The following is a 15,435-nucleotide window of genomic DNA, read 5'->3' on the forward strand; positions in this document are numbered from 1 at the left end:
AATCTAAGCCTCGGGATGGTCTAGAAATAAGTAGCCTTAGCAAAAAGCAACATCTTGACCTACATTCAAAATGTTAATTCTTTGATTTATGATGTATTTTAAAATGCATGTAACCAGGTTAAAAAGATGTGTTAGATGTGGCTAAAATTCCTGTATGCTCAAGCTGAAAATGCCTAGGATACAAGCCTAGGGACTACTGCGCGTACGGGACCATCGCAAGGCCAAGGGACCAAAAGTACAATCTGCTCACTGCCGTGATGACTCAGTCCAGGCTGAGACATCAGGAAAACTAACAAGTGTCCCAAGGTTCTTTTTCCTACAAGGAGTTACACTAATGTCGGGACTCGTGGTATTATAAGATAAAGGCATGGATAATAAGGAGGAATCTTAATTTGGCCAACCGAAGCATCAATGGAAGCCTATTTGTTGGCTCCTCTTAAGAGCCAATTCTCTGTGATCGAAATGAGTTTGTATTTGGCTCACATTGGTCATACCTACACCATGCCCATGTCAACAACGGCACACATATCTGGAAGCAGAAAAACATAATTCCTGGCTGGGAGAATATGGTTCCTTAAGAAAATGAAAAAGAAAAAGAAAAGGCTGACCAGCTCTGATAGGTTTTGCAAGCTCTTTCCTGCTGTTTCTTTCAGGGAATCCTAGCAAATGAAATGTCACGAGAAGAAACTTTTCTGAGAATCAGAGCTCATGGTGGGCAGAGTTCTCACCCCCCAAAACTCTAATTTGCACAAATGTATTCTTTTTCGCTTTTTGGCCTGTGGTCTCAGTGAACGTCACAGCCAGGCAGGGCTCACGGTGACCCTGTGAGGTCGACTCCTAGAAAGGGCATACAAGGTGACGGTGAACTCCACCTCAAAGCATCGACGCGCAAAAGTCTGCCAGGCACAGAGGCTTTCGGAACTGGGTGTCCCTCCTCCGTCTGCCTCCTCGAAGTGTCCCTTTTACCCTGGGGGCTTCCTCCCTGACTTCTGAGCCTCTGAACTATGTCTTCGACACACCAGATGGGCTAGGGAGCAAAGAAAGCAACAGTCCCAGAGTTGGAGTAAGATTCAGGTGCACGTTAAATTTTAATCCAGTTTCAGTTTACATATTATACATAATTAGACAATGAAGTGATGGATTTTCTTTTCAAAACGTCCCATGTTTGCTGCTTTGGGTAAGACCAGGCAAAGTGTTATCTCAGGAAGTTTAAGAGCTTAGAGGATCCAAGAGCGAGAGTTTATCTGGAAAATTTGTTTTGTCCATGATCAAGAATGTCCTGTTAAAGGCCAAATATCACAATTCAGTGTTGGAAGTGACAAGAAGAAAATTTCCAGAAAGTTCCATTTGTTAGCTGACATGTATTGTAGAGAATAATTTTGGGGGTAATTGGGGCCCACTTTCTACTATGTGTTTATGAACGATTAGAGACTGTTACAGGACACAGTGAATGGCTTAATATCACGATGTTAATCAGGGACGATGCTGCTGCAGGACAAATTAACCAAACCCTTGAAAATATACACAAAGAATATAAAAAAGGACTCATGCGGGAATTATTCTAAAGAAAGTTGTTGCGAGTCATGAGGGGCTCAGTCCATGCTCCTGGGCTTGAGAGACCCACTCAACAGATCTTGCTGACCCAGATCCAACAAGTAACAGATAAAAGGGGTCACCAATTACAAGGTTAAAGCAAAGAAATTATAACATGTGGTTATACCATGAAGCAACATTTGGTCATTGAAACATTAGTGTTTTTATAGAAGATGCTTGATTGAAATTCTTAGTTTTGAAGATCCATTCATAGAAAGGGACAATTTAAGAAATTCAGTCAAGTTCAGATTTCCCAGAAAGGCTCTATCAGAATAGGATTGACTTTTTGCAAAGATAGGTTTAGACACATGTGTGGCTTTTCGATCAACCAAAATTAGCAAAAGGCCATCCACCTCCTGTAAGATACAGTCTCCCCTCCAGGACAAGACAGGAAGGAGGGGCTGCCCATGCGCACCCTGCCCTGGAAGGCATGAAGAGCTAACCGGCTCCCTCGGAAAATGCTAAAGGTGGGGACCGTCACACCATCTTGCAAGATGAAGTAAGAGAAGAAGAAAGTGCCGATGCTGGAGAAACAGCAAGTTGGCTCGGAATTTCAAATCAACATAAGCCGCCAAGCCCAACGTGAAGGGATGCAAGCCAAAGAAAACGAATCCCTGCAGTCTCTGACCAGTTAGAGGCAACACTAGAAGCAACTTTTACAGAGGCTGTTTTCCTGTCTACAGCTGGCCTGTTGGAACTGGAGATGTGCCAATCTTTGGCAAAGTGTCCCTCATCAAGAAATTCAAAGGAATGCTGCCATGTTCTGATGTATTGGCCAAGTTCCAAGTGGAGTTAGTCATGTTTTGACCATGAGGGAAATGTGGTTTCGAGCCATACAAAAGACGCCTGAACAAAGTGGGTTGAACTGCTCTTGCTAATGCTGTCCGTTTTGAGATCCTAAATCTACTTTTCCATGAGGCACTGTTTTGGATGAGGCTACAGACTTTACAGCCGTTAGGTAAGAGGAAGCCCTCCAGGCGTTTACATTCCATGAAGAAAGTTCCAAGGGTCTTGTGGCGAAAGAGCTAGTTCAGGAAGTCACTGAACATAAGCAGGTGATCTAGGGCCCTAGGGCCTTGGACAGGGATCCTGTAAAAGATGACATGGGTGTGAAATAGAAGCCTACACTTTGCAATAGTCCTGGTCTATCGTCAGGGTCCTCGGATGCCGAGGTGGGGTGGGATGATTGGGAAAGAGATCAAATGTGGGTTGAAAAGCAGCATTATCTTTGCCTGGATAACGCTTTTTCCAAACAAAAGGAAAACCAAGCAATTTGACATAATGATATGGCCTGTCCGATAATTTAAATCGATTATCTGGGGACTCCTGGCTCTCATCTCGCTGTGAGCATCTCCCAGGTCTCACCCTCTTTCCCTGTGTGCACCTGCACGTATGCTCTCCCCGGATTGCGGAGGCTTTGAGACTCCCCCTGTGACTTCTACCCACTTCTTCCAAACCTGTCTGGACCTACATCTAGAGATGTCTATGTGAAGGAGGAAAATCTCAGTGTTGCAGTATAAATGTAGGTATTTCACCAATTTGCCAGATTTATGCTTAAAAATTATAGGCATAGAGAAGAGGGAGGTAAAACTCTAGAATGATGTGTGTCTGGTTGAATTCCATGACTCTCCGGATCCCCGAACCGTGAGTTGTCACTGTCCTAAAGAGTATTCATGACTAAGACCACAGTGTATTTAAGAAATTAGCTATTATGATGGTAGATTTTGTCATAAGTGCTATTTAAGTATCCATATTGTAAATACTGCTATGAATTTCTTTTAAAAATTAAATTTTGATTATTTACAGTCATTTTCTAAAAATTTGAGTAACTGTAAAATTTCCCTTCCATATGCATGCATATCTGAAGAGAAAACACCCATGCTTTAGGATATCCCAGATAGGAAGGATATGATATGAACAAGCTGGAGGTATGTCAGGGGAAAAGGCAGAATGGGTTGTGTGGAAAAGTGGCTGAAATTCCGAGGATTCAATCCCATGTCTACATCAAGGCACTGGGGTGCACAGGCCATGTTTTTTAACAGACATTTTTCTTTGCAAATGACATATCATTTTTTTTTGTGAACTACTGAGTGCATGGATTTTTAAAAGAGAATTATTGTCATTAAATCTTACTTGAGTTCTTGGGAGCTGGTGGCCAGCATACTTCGAATGCTTTTGTCCGCCAGGGGGCAGCCAGACAGACTGTAAGACAGGCCGGGACAGGCAGGTCAGTCAACTGCGAAGCGCGTAACTCCCAAACAAACACAACATAAAAACCGAAATTAAAGAGTTTAATGCAGAAAAGCAATGGGCAAGTGCTGTATATTGAATTTTTTTTTGTGTAATTAATTCTGAATCGGTTCGAATATAAATTTAAGAAAATATTTCTTAATAAGCAATTGTTTAAAAATAAGATAAAACATTTGTGCTCTTTGGCTTAAATGCTTAAGAAGAATTTTACAAATTTAGGTCGTTTATTTGAAAATAAAAGACATTATACAACACATAAATTAGCATGCTTTTGAAGGTCAACATATAGCACTTAAAGGGTTGACACAGAATTCAACATTTTTACTTTGACAGCATTGTTGAGGTAAGCTGAAAACAATAAATTGAAAAGACAGAATCCACCATGAGAAAAATGAAGTCACACCTTCTGTGTGAGGCGTAATTACCAGTCACATGACCACTCCCATCACACCCTGGAGTTGGACATCTGCCACCAAACAAAAACAAAAACAGCCAAAATAGTAAGTATGTTTAAAAAAAAAAAAAACTTTTAAAAAAGTTTCATTGTTTCCAGTTTAGCTGCAATGTCTGCAAGGGGATTTAAGCACCCTGAAGAAAAGCGGCAAAATGCACGGGTTAAATGAAAATGACGCCCCCATCCGACAGAGCGTCACTGGGAACAGGCAAGTGCACGGTTAGCTGCTCACTCTACTGACCCAGCAGTCGGAAACATTTATATGCTGCGAATGTCGCATGCTCAAACGGCAAGGCATATACAGATCCAGTTTTAAAAAATCAGCCAAAGAATGGGAAGATTAAGAAGATTCATAATTTCACCTCACAGCATGCTTACGTTATTAAGTCCTTTTTGCTCTCCTTGCACTGAGGGTACTTGGGTTTGGGACTTGGGATGGTCACCTCCCCGGGATACCGTCTTTCTTCTAGAGCCTCCTGGAATGGGTCCAAGTCTTCTGGCTGTGGGCAAAACACAGCTTCAGAGCCACACGGATGATCACATGGCACACAGACTGAGGGAGGTGGTTCGTGGCTCTGGGGTGGCCTCTACATCTTACACCTCTTTCTGCTGTACCTTTAAGATCCTTTTGGTCCTGATAACGCCCCTACTGAAAATGCATATTGAACTTTTCTTCCACTGCTCTAAACTCCTAAAATGATGGTCACCTGTCAGTGGTCAGGGCCCTTATTCAATATTCACCTGGCTGTGCTCATCACATGGACACACACACGGTCTGGTAGCCAGAGACTACATTTAACTTGGTCTTCCTCATCCAGCATTCAGCACACACCTGTGGGTGGCTGCTTTATCCAACACTTGCCTGCAAAGATTCAACACTGGAACTACAGTGTCTTAGGGCTGAGCTTTCCCCCACCATTGGTCAGTATTTTACAAGCACATGCTTTAAGATTCAAGGTAATGGAGACCAATTTAGAGGAATGTAACTGTAAATTTCCTTTTCCCTTGTGTGTTCAACTGCAGTAACGTAGATGTTTCTACAGGTGGCAATGCTCAGCAGACACTTTCCTAAGTGTAGATACATGGGAAGGTTTGTCTTCCATGATGATCCAGGATGAAAACACTTCTGTCATTTTAGGAGGGCTTACTTTCAATTAAAATGAATTTGGAGATTCAACCACCATGCCTTATTTGGTAGTAATGATTCAACACTGCGGGAGAAAAAAATACTTAGAAATTTAGCTTGCCACTCTGATTTGGTTCTTTTTCACAATGCCTGGATATTGAAATCAATTTGAAGAATGCAGATAATAGGCTTATAAGCAGGTGCCCTCTCTGCCAATTTCTACATGGGGCTAATATTTCTTTTTTTTCCATTTCCTTGTTTCTGTAAGACACTAGTGCTTCGATGGTGGTCTCTCTATTGTACTAAAAACACATTTCATTTTTCAGTGAAGAAAGAAGATGTCATAAGACTTTAAAGTCGGTACATAAAGAAAACATTTTTCTTTATTTCTTTTCAAAGCCTAAAGGGCATTATATCTATTTTAATAACCTGAATTTGAACACTGTAGCTACTTCAAAAGTATGTTCTTGACATAGATGTTTTAGTAATACTGTCATAAACAAAGACTTAGGTGATGGTACTAAAATAGTTTATTCAAGGCTAAACTCTTTTGAGTACTTAGGTTTCTTAGAGAAGGGACACTGTCCTTAGTTTCGAAGGGCTAGTTAATTAATAGCACATAGTTAACCATTTAACTATCTAAGACTCCTATTAGAATTCTCTACCTGCAAGGAAAATCCTGTATTGTTTCAACAGGACACCCAGAAAAATGAACTCAGGTGCTATTTATACGTTTTCTTAGAGTAATCATTTGTAACAAAACATATTTGTTAGAAAATAAACTTTATCATTTACAAGAGTCAATACTTTGTTTCACTCTAATCAATGTTAGTCGCAAATCTCTTCTGGGTCAACAAAAACTGTTTTCTAAGTCCTCCTCAGCTAAAGGTCATATTTAAAGAGAAAATATATTTTCTCATAACGTATGTGCAAATGGCTTTTCTTTCAGCTGGGGCCCCATTTTTAAGTCTGGCAGTCAACACAGGCTCAATGAAAAGGACATACAGTAATGTCTTTGGACTCGTCCTCGTCTATCCTCCGGGGTTTCATTTTGGTGTAGTCTACGGGCAAGTCCCAGCAGTCGCCCTCGCCCAGCTGGAAACACCGGTTGTTCATCACTGCCTGCTGCTGGGGGGACATGGGCTCCAGAGGGGTCAGGATGGGGCAGCAGCTGTCCCGCGGCCTCTGCTTGTTCATGCTGAGGTCCAGGGTCCCGTTCTCATCCACCTCCATGTCAGGGTTCTGTCGGTAGAAAGACATAGTGACTGTGCTTGGCCCGGCATCTTGTGACACCACGAGTCCTTCCTCCCAGATTACAGTCCTGCCGTCAGCCAGTGTAGCGTTCAACACAGAATCCCTCGCTGCTGTTTCCTTGGCCTAAACTCCCAAGGCGGACAGGCCTTGTCTGGTGGTACATTCCTGCTATCCCACGCTTAGCTGCAAAATTGGTTGGAGAATCCAGGCATCCATCCCGCCATCCCTCTCTCCCTCCCTCCCTCCATTTCCCTATTTATCTACTGTCTATCCTCTCTCTCTCCTTCCTTTTTGTCCTATTGTATCTCTGATTTAGAGTTTGTTCAGAAGAAAATTACAAAGTGCTTAATTTTAATTTTATTACCGTTGCAAATACCTAAGAGATAAAAATTTTGTGTGTATGCATGTGTGCATATACATGTATGTGCATGTGTGTGTGTGTATAAACACACATATATCAGCTTAAAAATTCTCTTTTTTATTGATGCTAATAGTTCAAGAATTAGGGAGGAGGATAACAAAAGAATTAGAAGGATGAAGGAAGGAAAGAGAATAAACTAAAATTTACCTTGTAATACAATTTTTTTTTTTTTTTTGAGGGACAGAGTCTTGCTCTGGTATCCAGGCTGGAGTGCAGTGGCACGACCTGGGCTCACTGCAACCTCCACCTCCCAGGTTCAAGCAATTCTCCTGTCTCAGCTTCCCAAGTAGCTGGGACTGCAGGTTTGCACCACCATGCCCAACTAATTTTTGTATTTTTTAGTAGAGATGGGGTTTCACTATATGTTGGCCAGGCTGGTCTCAAACTCCTGACCTCAAGTGATCCAGCCGCCTCAGCCCCTCAAAGTGCTGAGATTACAGGTGTGAGCCACTGCGCCTGGCTGTAATAAGAACTTTTATAATGAAGATAATTTTCCACTTTACGAAAGAAGATCTGCAGTTGTAGCTAAAAATACCTTTACTACAGTGATTACCGTCTGATCTCTAGATTTCAGCAAACCTGCAATTTAGTCTACTGGCTTAAAAAAAAACCCCAAAGAGGTACAGGGTGAGGCTCTTTCATTTTTTAAATGATGCTTTGAAATGCATCAATAATTCTGCAGCACTTGCCTCTCAGGAAGAGAGTCAGAAGAATGGACACATGGACAGAAAGTTAAAAAAAAAAAATCAGAATACCCCTAACAATCCTGCATGTTTTTCCCCAAAGAGTGACACTCTCCTTAGCAAAATTTGATTTCAGAGCTGGTCTGAAAGCTGCTGCCTCCTCAAGGGTCTAGCAGCTCTCTCCTCTGGATGCAACAGCAGAAGGAAGATGCTTGGAATGAGACCTCCATCCCCGGAGCTGTTACCTTGATAAATTATACAGTATCATTCTGCCTGAACTCTCTTTGTCAAAGTGTACTCTGATTTGAAGCTTTGATACTAATTTAAGCTTTATAATGTTGGATTTATTCTCTCAGTCTTAGTTTAATTTTAAGAAAGTGCAACAAAATTTGGAAGGGGTCTCTGCCTTTTATTTTATTTTTTTTGTGGTTGCCACAGAATCTCTTCCATGCTAACCTTGCATTTTTGCAACCTTGATCACCATGAAAACTGCATGCACCTGACTCTTCTCCAATATCTAGGACTAAATATACTGATAGAAGAAAAAAACATTTGCAAAACGTAAGATTACTGACCTTTCTTCATTCATACCAACTACAAATATTTACAAGAACCACTGTCAGTGTGGTCCACTCAGGTACATGGCCAGGCAGCGCTACACAGTGGAGAGCCCTTTGTTTATCAGGAGAGGAGGTGAACATGTCCGCTGCTCAGCGTCTCCTCTGAGAACACAATCTGACCGCTCCCTGGCACCGCCTGGTTCTCCCCAGCCGCCTGGTGGCCTCGGCGAGGCAGCTGTCTCCCAGGTCTGTGCTGCATCTTAAACGCTCTCTCTCCTGCCCAGCATAAGCACTGGTTCAATTGATAAGAAAATTAAAAATAGACACTCTTCCTATGCCTTTCATAGCACTATAGCATCCATGAAAATGTGGAACTGACGAGTGCTGGCTGTAAATACACGGCTGATCCCTTGGTGTGAAGTCTGATTTTTACTTCCTTTCCCTGCTACCCAGGAGTCCATAGGCAGATCCCTGCATTTCACGTGACAATGGTGCTAGCAGAACTTCCTGTCAAAGTTCAAGGAGACCCACGCTTCGTTTTGCATGCTCTGTGCGGTCACTGGAGACCACAGGAGGCCCACGTGGTGTCCTTTGTTTACAGAAATGCTTCTGGATCCTGGAGAGAAGGATCCATTCACGCACGTTCATCTACAAGATCTGACCCTTGCCTCTGATTTAGAAAATGGATGCGCTTTGGACAATGGTGTGTTCAGGCTGCGTTAAGGGAAGCTGCACTAATTGTTCACAGTGGCGAGAATGGTTTAGGAGATCACGGCGTTTGCCCCATACAGCTGCCCCGAAAGCGCCGCGTGTCTCGGTGGCTGGGTCCGCGGCCCGGCCTCCCCCACCCGCCAGGTGGCTCCACCTGCCCAGGCGCGCGTACCCGCGTGGCGCACAGGTCCTGCGGCTTGGTGCTCAGGTTCTGCGGCATCTCGCGGCAGCGCGTGGACAGGTTGAGGATGGCGGTGGCCGCCATGTGGGCCGCCTCCATGTCGTGCGTGTAGTCGAAGCTGCTCTTGCTGCACGTGCTGCTGGCGCTGCTGCCCCCGCCGCAGCTCAGGTTGCTGCTGCTGCTGGGCGCGTAGCTGCTGGTGCTGCTGCTGCTGGGGCTGGGGTCCTTGCAGTACCGCTTCGCTGGGGAGACAGGGACAGGGATGACTCAGGCCCCGGCCGCAGGGCACACGGCAGACAGCACACGGCAGGGCCTGCCCGCCCCGGCCTCAGCCACACACAGCCGCGTGGGACGGCCCTCAGGGTGCTGGGGCTTACGCGTAAAGAAAACAAACAACAGGCAAACGAAAACAAAACAAAACTTTCCGGCTCCTTTCTTTTTTCTTCTTTTTTCCTTTTTCCTTTTTTTTTTTTTTTTTGCCCTGGAGGATAATTCATCGACCTGTTGGAGAGGCTGCACCTCACACCCAGCACAGGCGGTCACCTGGTCCCTCGAAAGACAGACACACGGCTGGCTAGCTTTTAGGAGCCGCAGGGTGTAGGGAAGTGACTGGGAATTCCAGCCCAGTCAAATCCCAGTCGAGGCCCTAAGCGTGAGTGGGGCTCCTCCGCAGCACATGAGGGCTCGTGAGCACTTTTGGTGACCCAACCTGGATCCGCGGTCCCTTATCTGTCAAGAGGTGGGCTGTTCCTTTCAGCCAGAGGGGCCCCGGCAGCCACCTTCTGGGCCTGTGGGGACCACGTGCTTTGGGAGGTGGATTTCTGGCTGGGCATGCAGACCAGATAGGGTGAGTCCAACATCCTTTTTTTTCTAGAATTCTGATACAGGCCATGGGAGTGAAACGGGGAAATGCACATAGAGAATAAGCTCAGGATAAATGTCGAAACACCTGAGTGGCCACTTGGTGGTGGCAGACACGCGGGGCACGTGTGCAGCTGCCTCTTTCATAGCCACGGCCTCTCTGTTCCCTGCACTGACCCTCACTGACACGATTCCCACTGCCCAGTAATCCTTTCTGAGCCACCACACTCACTAACAGCCAAACCAGCACTGAGGGGCAAGGGTTATTTGTTAGAGCTATTTAAATCTCCTTTAGTACATGACAATGTTTCAGTCCAGGATTTATCCGATGGGTCCTTCTTTACTAATTGTTATCCCTGCCAGTTAATGTCACAGGACTTCATTTGTGCATGGCCAGACATTTCTCTTGGAATCCAGCAGAGTGAAGAGTTACTCAGAGGTGGACCTGGTCTCTCCCATGTCCTAAATCCCTCCGTCAGTGAGCCCCTCCCTTTAGGAAGCACCTTCTTCCCCAAGAGATCCCCGCCTGCTTCCCTGGGACCGTTGTGAGTGTAGCTGGGAGAACTTGGTGATAGGCTAGAGACACTCTAGCCCGGGTTCTCCTGGTGCTTAGGGCTGCCCTAGTCCTAATCGGCAAAGCTCCAAGCTGCCTAATTCTGATGGAAACTATGGTTTTGTCTGTTGCTACAAGGAAAGGGAGACCTCGCAGTTGGTCATGGCTCCTGCGGTGTCTTCTGTGCCATCGGCAGCAGCTCTGAACCTGGAGCCAGGCTTCCCCAGGGACTCCTTCCCACAGAGGAAGAAGAGAACAAAGCTAAGTGAAGCAAAAAGCTTTCTCACATTGCTGATACGGTCATTATGAGCAATGCTAAGAAATTGCCCTGGATTTGGATACAAAGGGAAAAAAGAAGGAGTCCTCATTGACAAGGTTTGGTTTGGGACTGAAGGCTCTCAGGACATGGGGAAGAGGTGTGTTATTGGTGATTCTGTAATGCACAGGCCTCTGCAGAGGAAGACTGAGGACAGTGCCCAGGCTGGGAGTTGGCCAGGCTGTCTTCGTCTCAGCCTCTGCCAAAAGCTACAGAGAATTCCCCAAGCAAGTAACCGCTTTACACCCAGATTCCTGTGCATGAGCCAGAGGCTCAAATCCGCACCCACAAAACCCATGAAATACAATAGTAATCTGTTGATATTATGACTGTGTTTTGCTAATCTGAATGAGCAAAGCCACTCAGAGTGGGCCCATGGCTGGTGGGGCACAGCTGTCCCTGAGAAGCGTGTCTGAGTGTCCCTCAGTGTGCCCCTCCCTTCTCTCTACTTTGGGATGCCCCTCCTCTAGGGAGCCCAGCAGTGCAGGGCGGGGTGGGCAGTGGCTGCTGGTCTGAGCAAGGCCCACACCAGGGCCTTTGAGAGAGACCACCGTGGGGCTGCAAAGGAGTCAACCAGAGGGAGACAGCAGAGGCTGTAAGGGCACCCCCACGGGCCCTGTGCAGTGCACACCTTGATCCACCCTAAGCAACCGTCACAAACCAGTTTGCAGTTTGTGATACTTTGGATATGAACTAAAGGTTGTGATTTTACATAATTTACAATTTTGTTAAGAAATAGTAGAATAATTGTAGGAGAAATGAAATAATAATATGGGGTTTTGTTTTTACTAGTGAGGGCTAGCCACTGGTTTAGGAAAAAAAAAAACATTGCCCACATAAATTAAAAAAAATAACACTTTTGTTTTGAAATGAGGGAATTTCAATTCCTAAAAAAAATTAAAGGAATAACACAAGTTAATGCAACAAACAACGGCAGCTGACATAGGTCGGCTGGCAACCTTGCACTCAGCGTTGGTGAGGGCGATGCTCAGGAGTGTGGGTGTGGAGGTGTGGCAGGAGCTCCCGCTGACGCCCAGAGACTTCTCGTCATGAGCCCCTCTCACAGTGACTCCTGCTACACTGTGCTCACAGCATCCTCCAACAGGATTGCATCTAGACTTCCACCACCCTGTAAGATGCTACCACATGCCTGCTTCACAGATGTGGAGACTGAGGCTGCCCAACGTCCACAAAGAGCCTCGACTGCCATCAACGATGTGTTTGTCTGGGAGAGTTCAGTATCTTATCAATTAGAAAATGCTACCCCAGCATCTCTATACACCAATAACATCCAGGCTCACCATCAATCAAGCAGGCAATCCCATTCACAGTAGCCACAAAGAAAAGGAAATACCTAGGAGCACAGCTCACCAAGGAGGTGAACAATGTCCACAAGGAGAGCTACAAAACACTGCTGAAAGAAATCAGAGACGACACAAATAAATGGAAAAATGTCTCATGTTCATGAATTGGAAGAATCAATATTGTTAAAATGGCCATACTGCCCAAAGCAATCTGCAGATTCAATTCTATTCCTATCAAACTACCAACGTAATTCTTTACAGAGTTAGAAAAACAATGATTCTAAAATTTCTATGAAATCAAAAAAGAGCCCAAATAGCCAAAGCAATCCTAAGCAAAATGAACAAAGCCAGAGGTTACACTCTACCTGACTTCAAAGTACACGATAAGGCTACAGTAACCAAAATAGCTTGGTACTGGTGTAAAAGCAGACACACAGACCAATGGAACACAATAGGAAACTCAGAAATAAAGCCACGCACCTACAACCATCTGATCTTTGATAAGGCCAATGAGAACAAGCAGTGGGGAAATGGTACTGGGATAATGGCTGAGCTATTTGTAGAAGAATGAAACTAGACCCATACTTTTGCCATATACAAAAATTAACAAGATGGATTAAAGATGTAAATGTAAGATGTCAAACTATAAAAATCTGAGAAGAAAACCTAGGAAATACCCTTTTCAACACTGGCCTTGGCAAATATTTTTTTTGACTAGGTCTCCAAAAGCAATTGCAACAAAAACAAAAATAGACAAGAGGGACCTAATTAAACAAAAGAGCTTCTGCACAGCAAAAGAAACTATCAACGGAGCAGACAGATAACCTACAGAATAGGAGAAGATATTCACAAACTATGTCAGATGACAAATGCCTAATATCTGACATCTATAAGGAACAAATACTTCAACAAACAAACCACAAATAACCCCATTAAAAATGGGCAAAGAACATGAACAGACACTTCTCAAAAGAAGACATACAAGTGGCCAACAGCCATGTGATAAAATGCTCAACATCACTAATCACCAGAGAACTGCAAATCAAAACCACAGTGAGACAGCATCTCATACCAGTCTGAATGGCTATTATTAAAAAGCCAAAAACAGCAGATGCTGGAGAGGCTGTGGAGAAAAGAGAACACTTATACATTCTTGGTGGAAATGCAAATTAGTTCAGCTACTGGACAGTAGTTTGAAGTTTTCCCAAAGCACTTAAAACAGAGCTACCATTAGACCCAGCAGTCCTGTTACTGAGATTTACCCAAATGAAAATAGATCGTTGTACCAGAAAGACACATGCACTCGTATGCTCATCACCATGCTCTTCACAATAGCAGAGGCACAGAATCAACCTAGGCGCCCATCAGTGGTGGATTAGATAAAGAAAATGCGGTACATAGACACTCTGTGATACTATGCAGCCATAAAAACAATAAAGTCTAAAGTCATGTCATTTGCAGTAACATGGATGGTGCTGGAGGCCACAAACCTAAATGAATTAATGCAGGGACAGAAAACTTTGTACCACATGTTCTTACTTGTAAGTGGGAGCTAAACATAGAGCACACAGGGACATAAACATGGGAACAATCGACACTGTGGACACTAGAGAGGGGAGTGGGTTGGAGAAATACCTCTTGGGTACTGTGTTCACTACCTGGGTGCAATATGCCCGTGTAATGAACATGCACAGGTACCCTCTGTATCTAAAATAAAAGTTGAAACAAAAAAGAAAAATGCTACCTCTATGTGACAACATTTTACTTGAAAGAATTTTTAACTAAAACGACTCTCTGCATTTCTTCCTCTCATCTTACTTGAATCACCTTAAATTATCCTGAAGTTATAAAATGTAGATGTGACGATGCATTGACTTTCCCAGATATTTAATTCATAAGATGCTACAACTAGATGACGCCAAGTGGATGGTACCGAATTTTAGTCGGTGACTGAACTGTCAAGAGTCTTTTGATGTGCCTATCAACTCACTGCACTCAAATGGGCAACTAAGACAGTATCTACTTTCACATGCATCCTTTACTGAATATAAAAATGTCATTTAAAAGTTTTAATTAAAACAAAAATAAAAATAAGAGGGCCTACAGTTAAAATTGCTCAGGAAAGGAAGGTCATTGGTCCTAATAATTATCCCTATTTGTAAAATGTCAGCACAGCCCTTCATGCCAGTATCTTTTGGACCACAATCAGCATTGCTCGGCTCAGTGCCCTGACAGCAGGGGGCGCTGCAGAGCAGGGGCTTCAAATTGAGGGTGCTCTGTTCCCCCTCTTCCAGCACAGAGGATGCTTGGTCTGATGAGAGCAGTTTCACAATGACAGAATGCACTTTCTTTTTCTTTTCGCAAACAAAACTTTTTTTTTTTTTGTTTGTTTGTTTGTTTTGAGATGGAGTCTCACTCTGTCACCCAGGCTGGAGTGCAGTGGCATGATCTCAACTCATTGCAATCTCTGCCTCTCAGGCTCACGTGATTCTCTTGCCTCAGCCTCCTAAGTAGCTGGGATTACAGGCGCCCACGACCATGCCCGGCTAATTTTTGTATTTTTAGTAGAGACAGGGTTTCACCATGTTGGCCAGGCTGATCTCAAACTCCTGACTTCAGGTGATCTGCCTGCCTTGGCCTCCCAAAGTCCTGGGATTACAGGCATAAGCCACCACGCCGGCCCAGAGCTATTTTTTGATCAAATTTTTTTTCAGTCCATCAGCAGACAAGAATGTGTTAATGTTCTTCCAGGCGCCCAGAACATCACTGTATGTTACGAGCAATGCAGCAGCTTTAACTCTAGATGCCAGAGCTGCCTTCAAACAGGAGCAGCCGCTGGATCTTAAACCATCCTAAAAATACCTCTTCAACTATTCCATTTCCTCTACTGCAGGAAAAAAGGAAAAGCACACAGGATTTGTGTGATTAAATACAGCTGTTGATGTAATAATAATAAACAAAACAAAAAAATACAAAACCTTCCAGGTAGGACCTTTTCATTCACCTACTCTGCTTGTGAAATTCTTACTAAATGTACATGCCTTGTTCTAGAAATGCCTATTGCCTTATGTATTCACCTTTTCTTGCAGAGAATAGATAAACATGTCTCCACAATATGAATTTCCATGAAAACCAGACAAATGCAATCACAAGATGTCCATCATGGAG

General features: G+C 44.0%; 1 protein-coding gene across 33 annotated transcripts in view; it reads right to left on the reverse strand.

Moving 5' to 3' along the window:
* Positions 1-15,435, reverse strand: part of MYT1L (myelin transcription factor 1 like) — a 542,163-nt gene that overhangs the window by 93,700 nt on the left and 433,028 nt on the right. For 15 of the 33 annotated variants that reach the window (XM_011510324.3, XM_011510318.2, XM_017003604.2 and 12 more), the window contains 5 exons: positions 9,225-9,475; positions 6,429-6,665; positions 4,676-4,797; positions 4,247-4,309; positions 3,727-3,795 (listed from right to left, as the gene is read on the reverse strand). In XM_011510324.3, coding sequence (XP_011508626.1) covers positions 3,727-3,795; positions 4,247-4,309; positions 4,676-4,797; positions 6,429-6,665; positions 9,225-9,475 — 742 coding nt within the window. Of the gene's footprint in view, positions 1-1,069; positions 2,683-3,726; positions 3,796-4,246; positions 4,310-4,675; positions 4,798-6,428; positions 6,666-9,224; positions 9,476-15,435 lie in introns of those variants that run through there. The other 18 variants (NM_015025.4, NM_001303052.2, XM_011510326.2 and 15 more) reach the window with 5 other exon arrangements.

Source organism: Homo sapiens, chromosome 2 (assembly GCF_000001405.40).
Source record: "Homo sapiens chromosome 2, GRCh38.p14 Primary Assembly".
NCBI classification, from domain to species: Eukaryota; Metazoa; Chordata; class Mammalia; order Primates; family Hominidae; genus Homo; species Homo sapiens.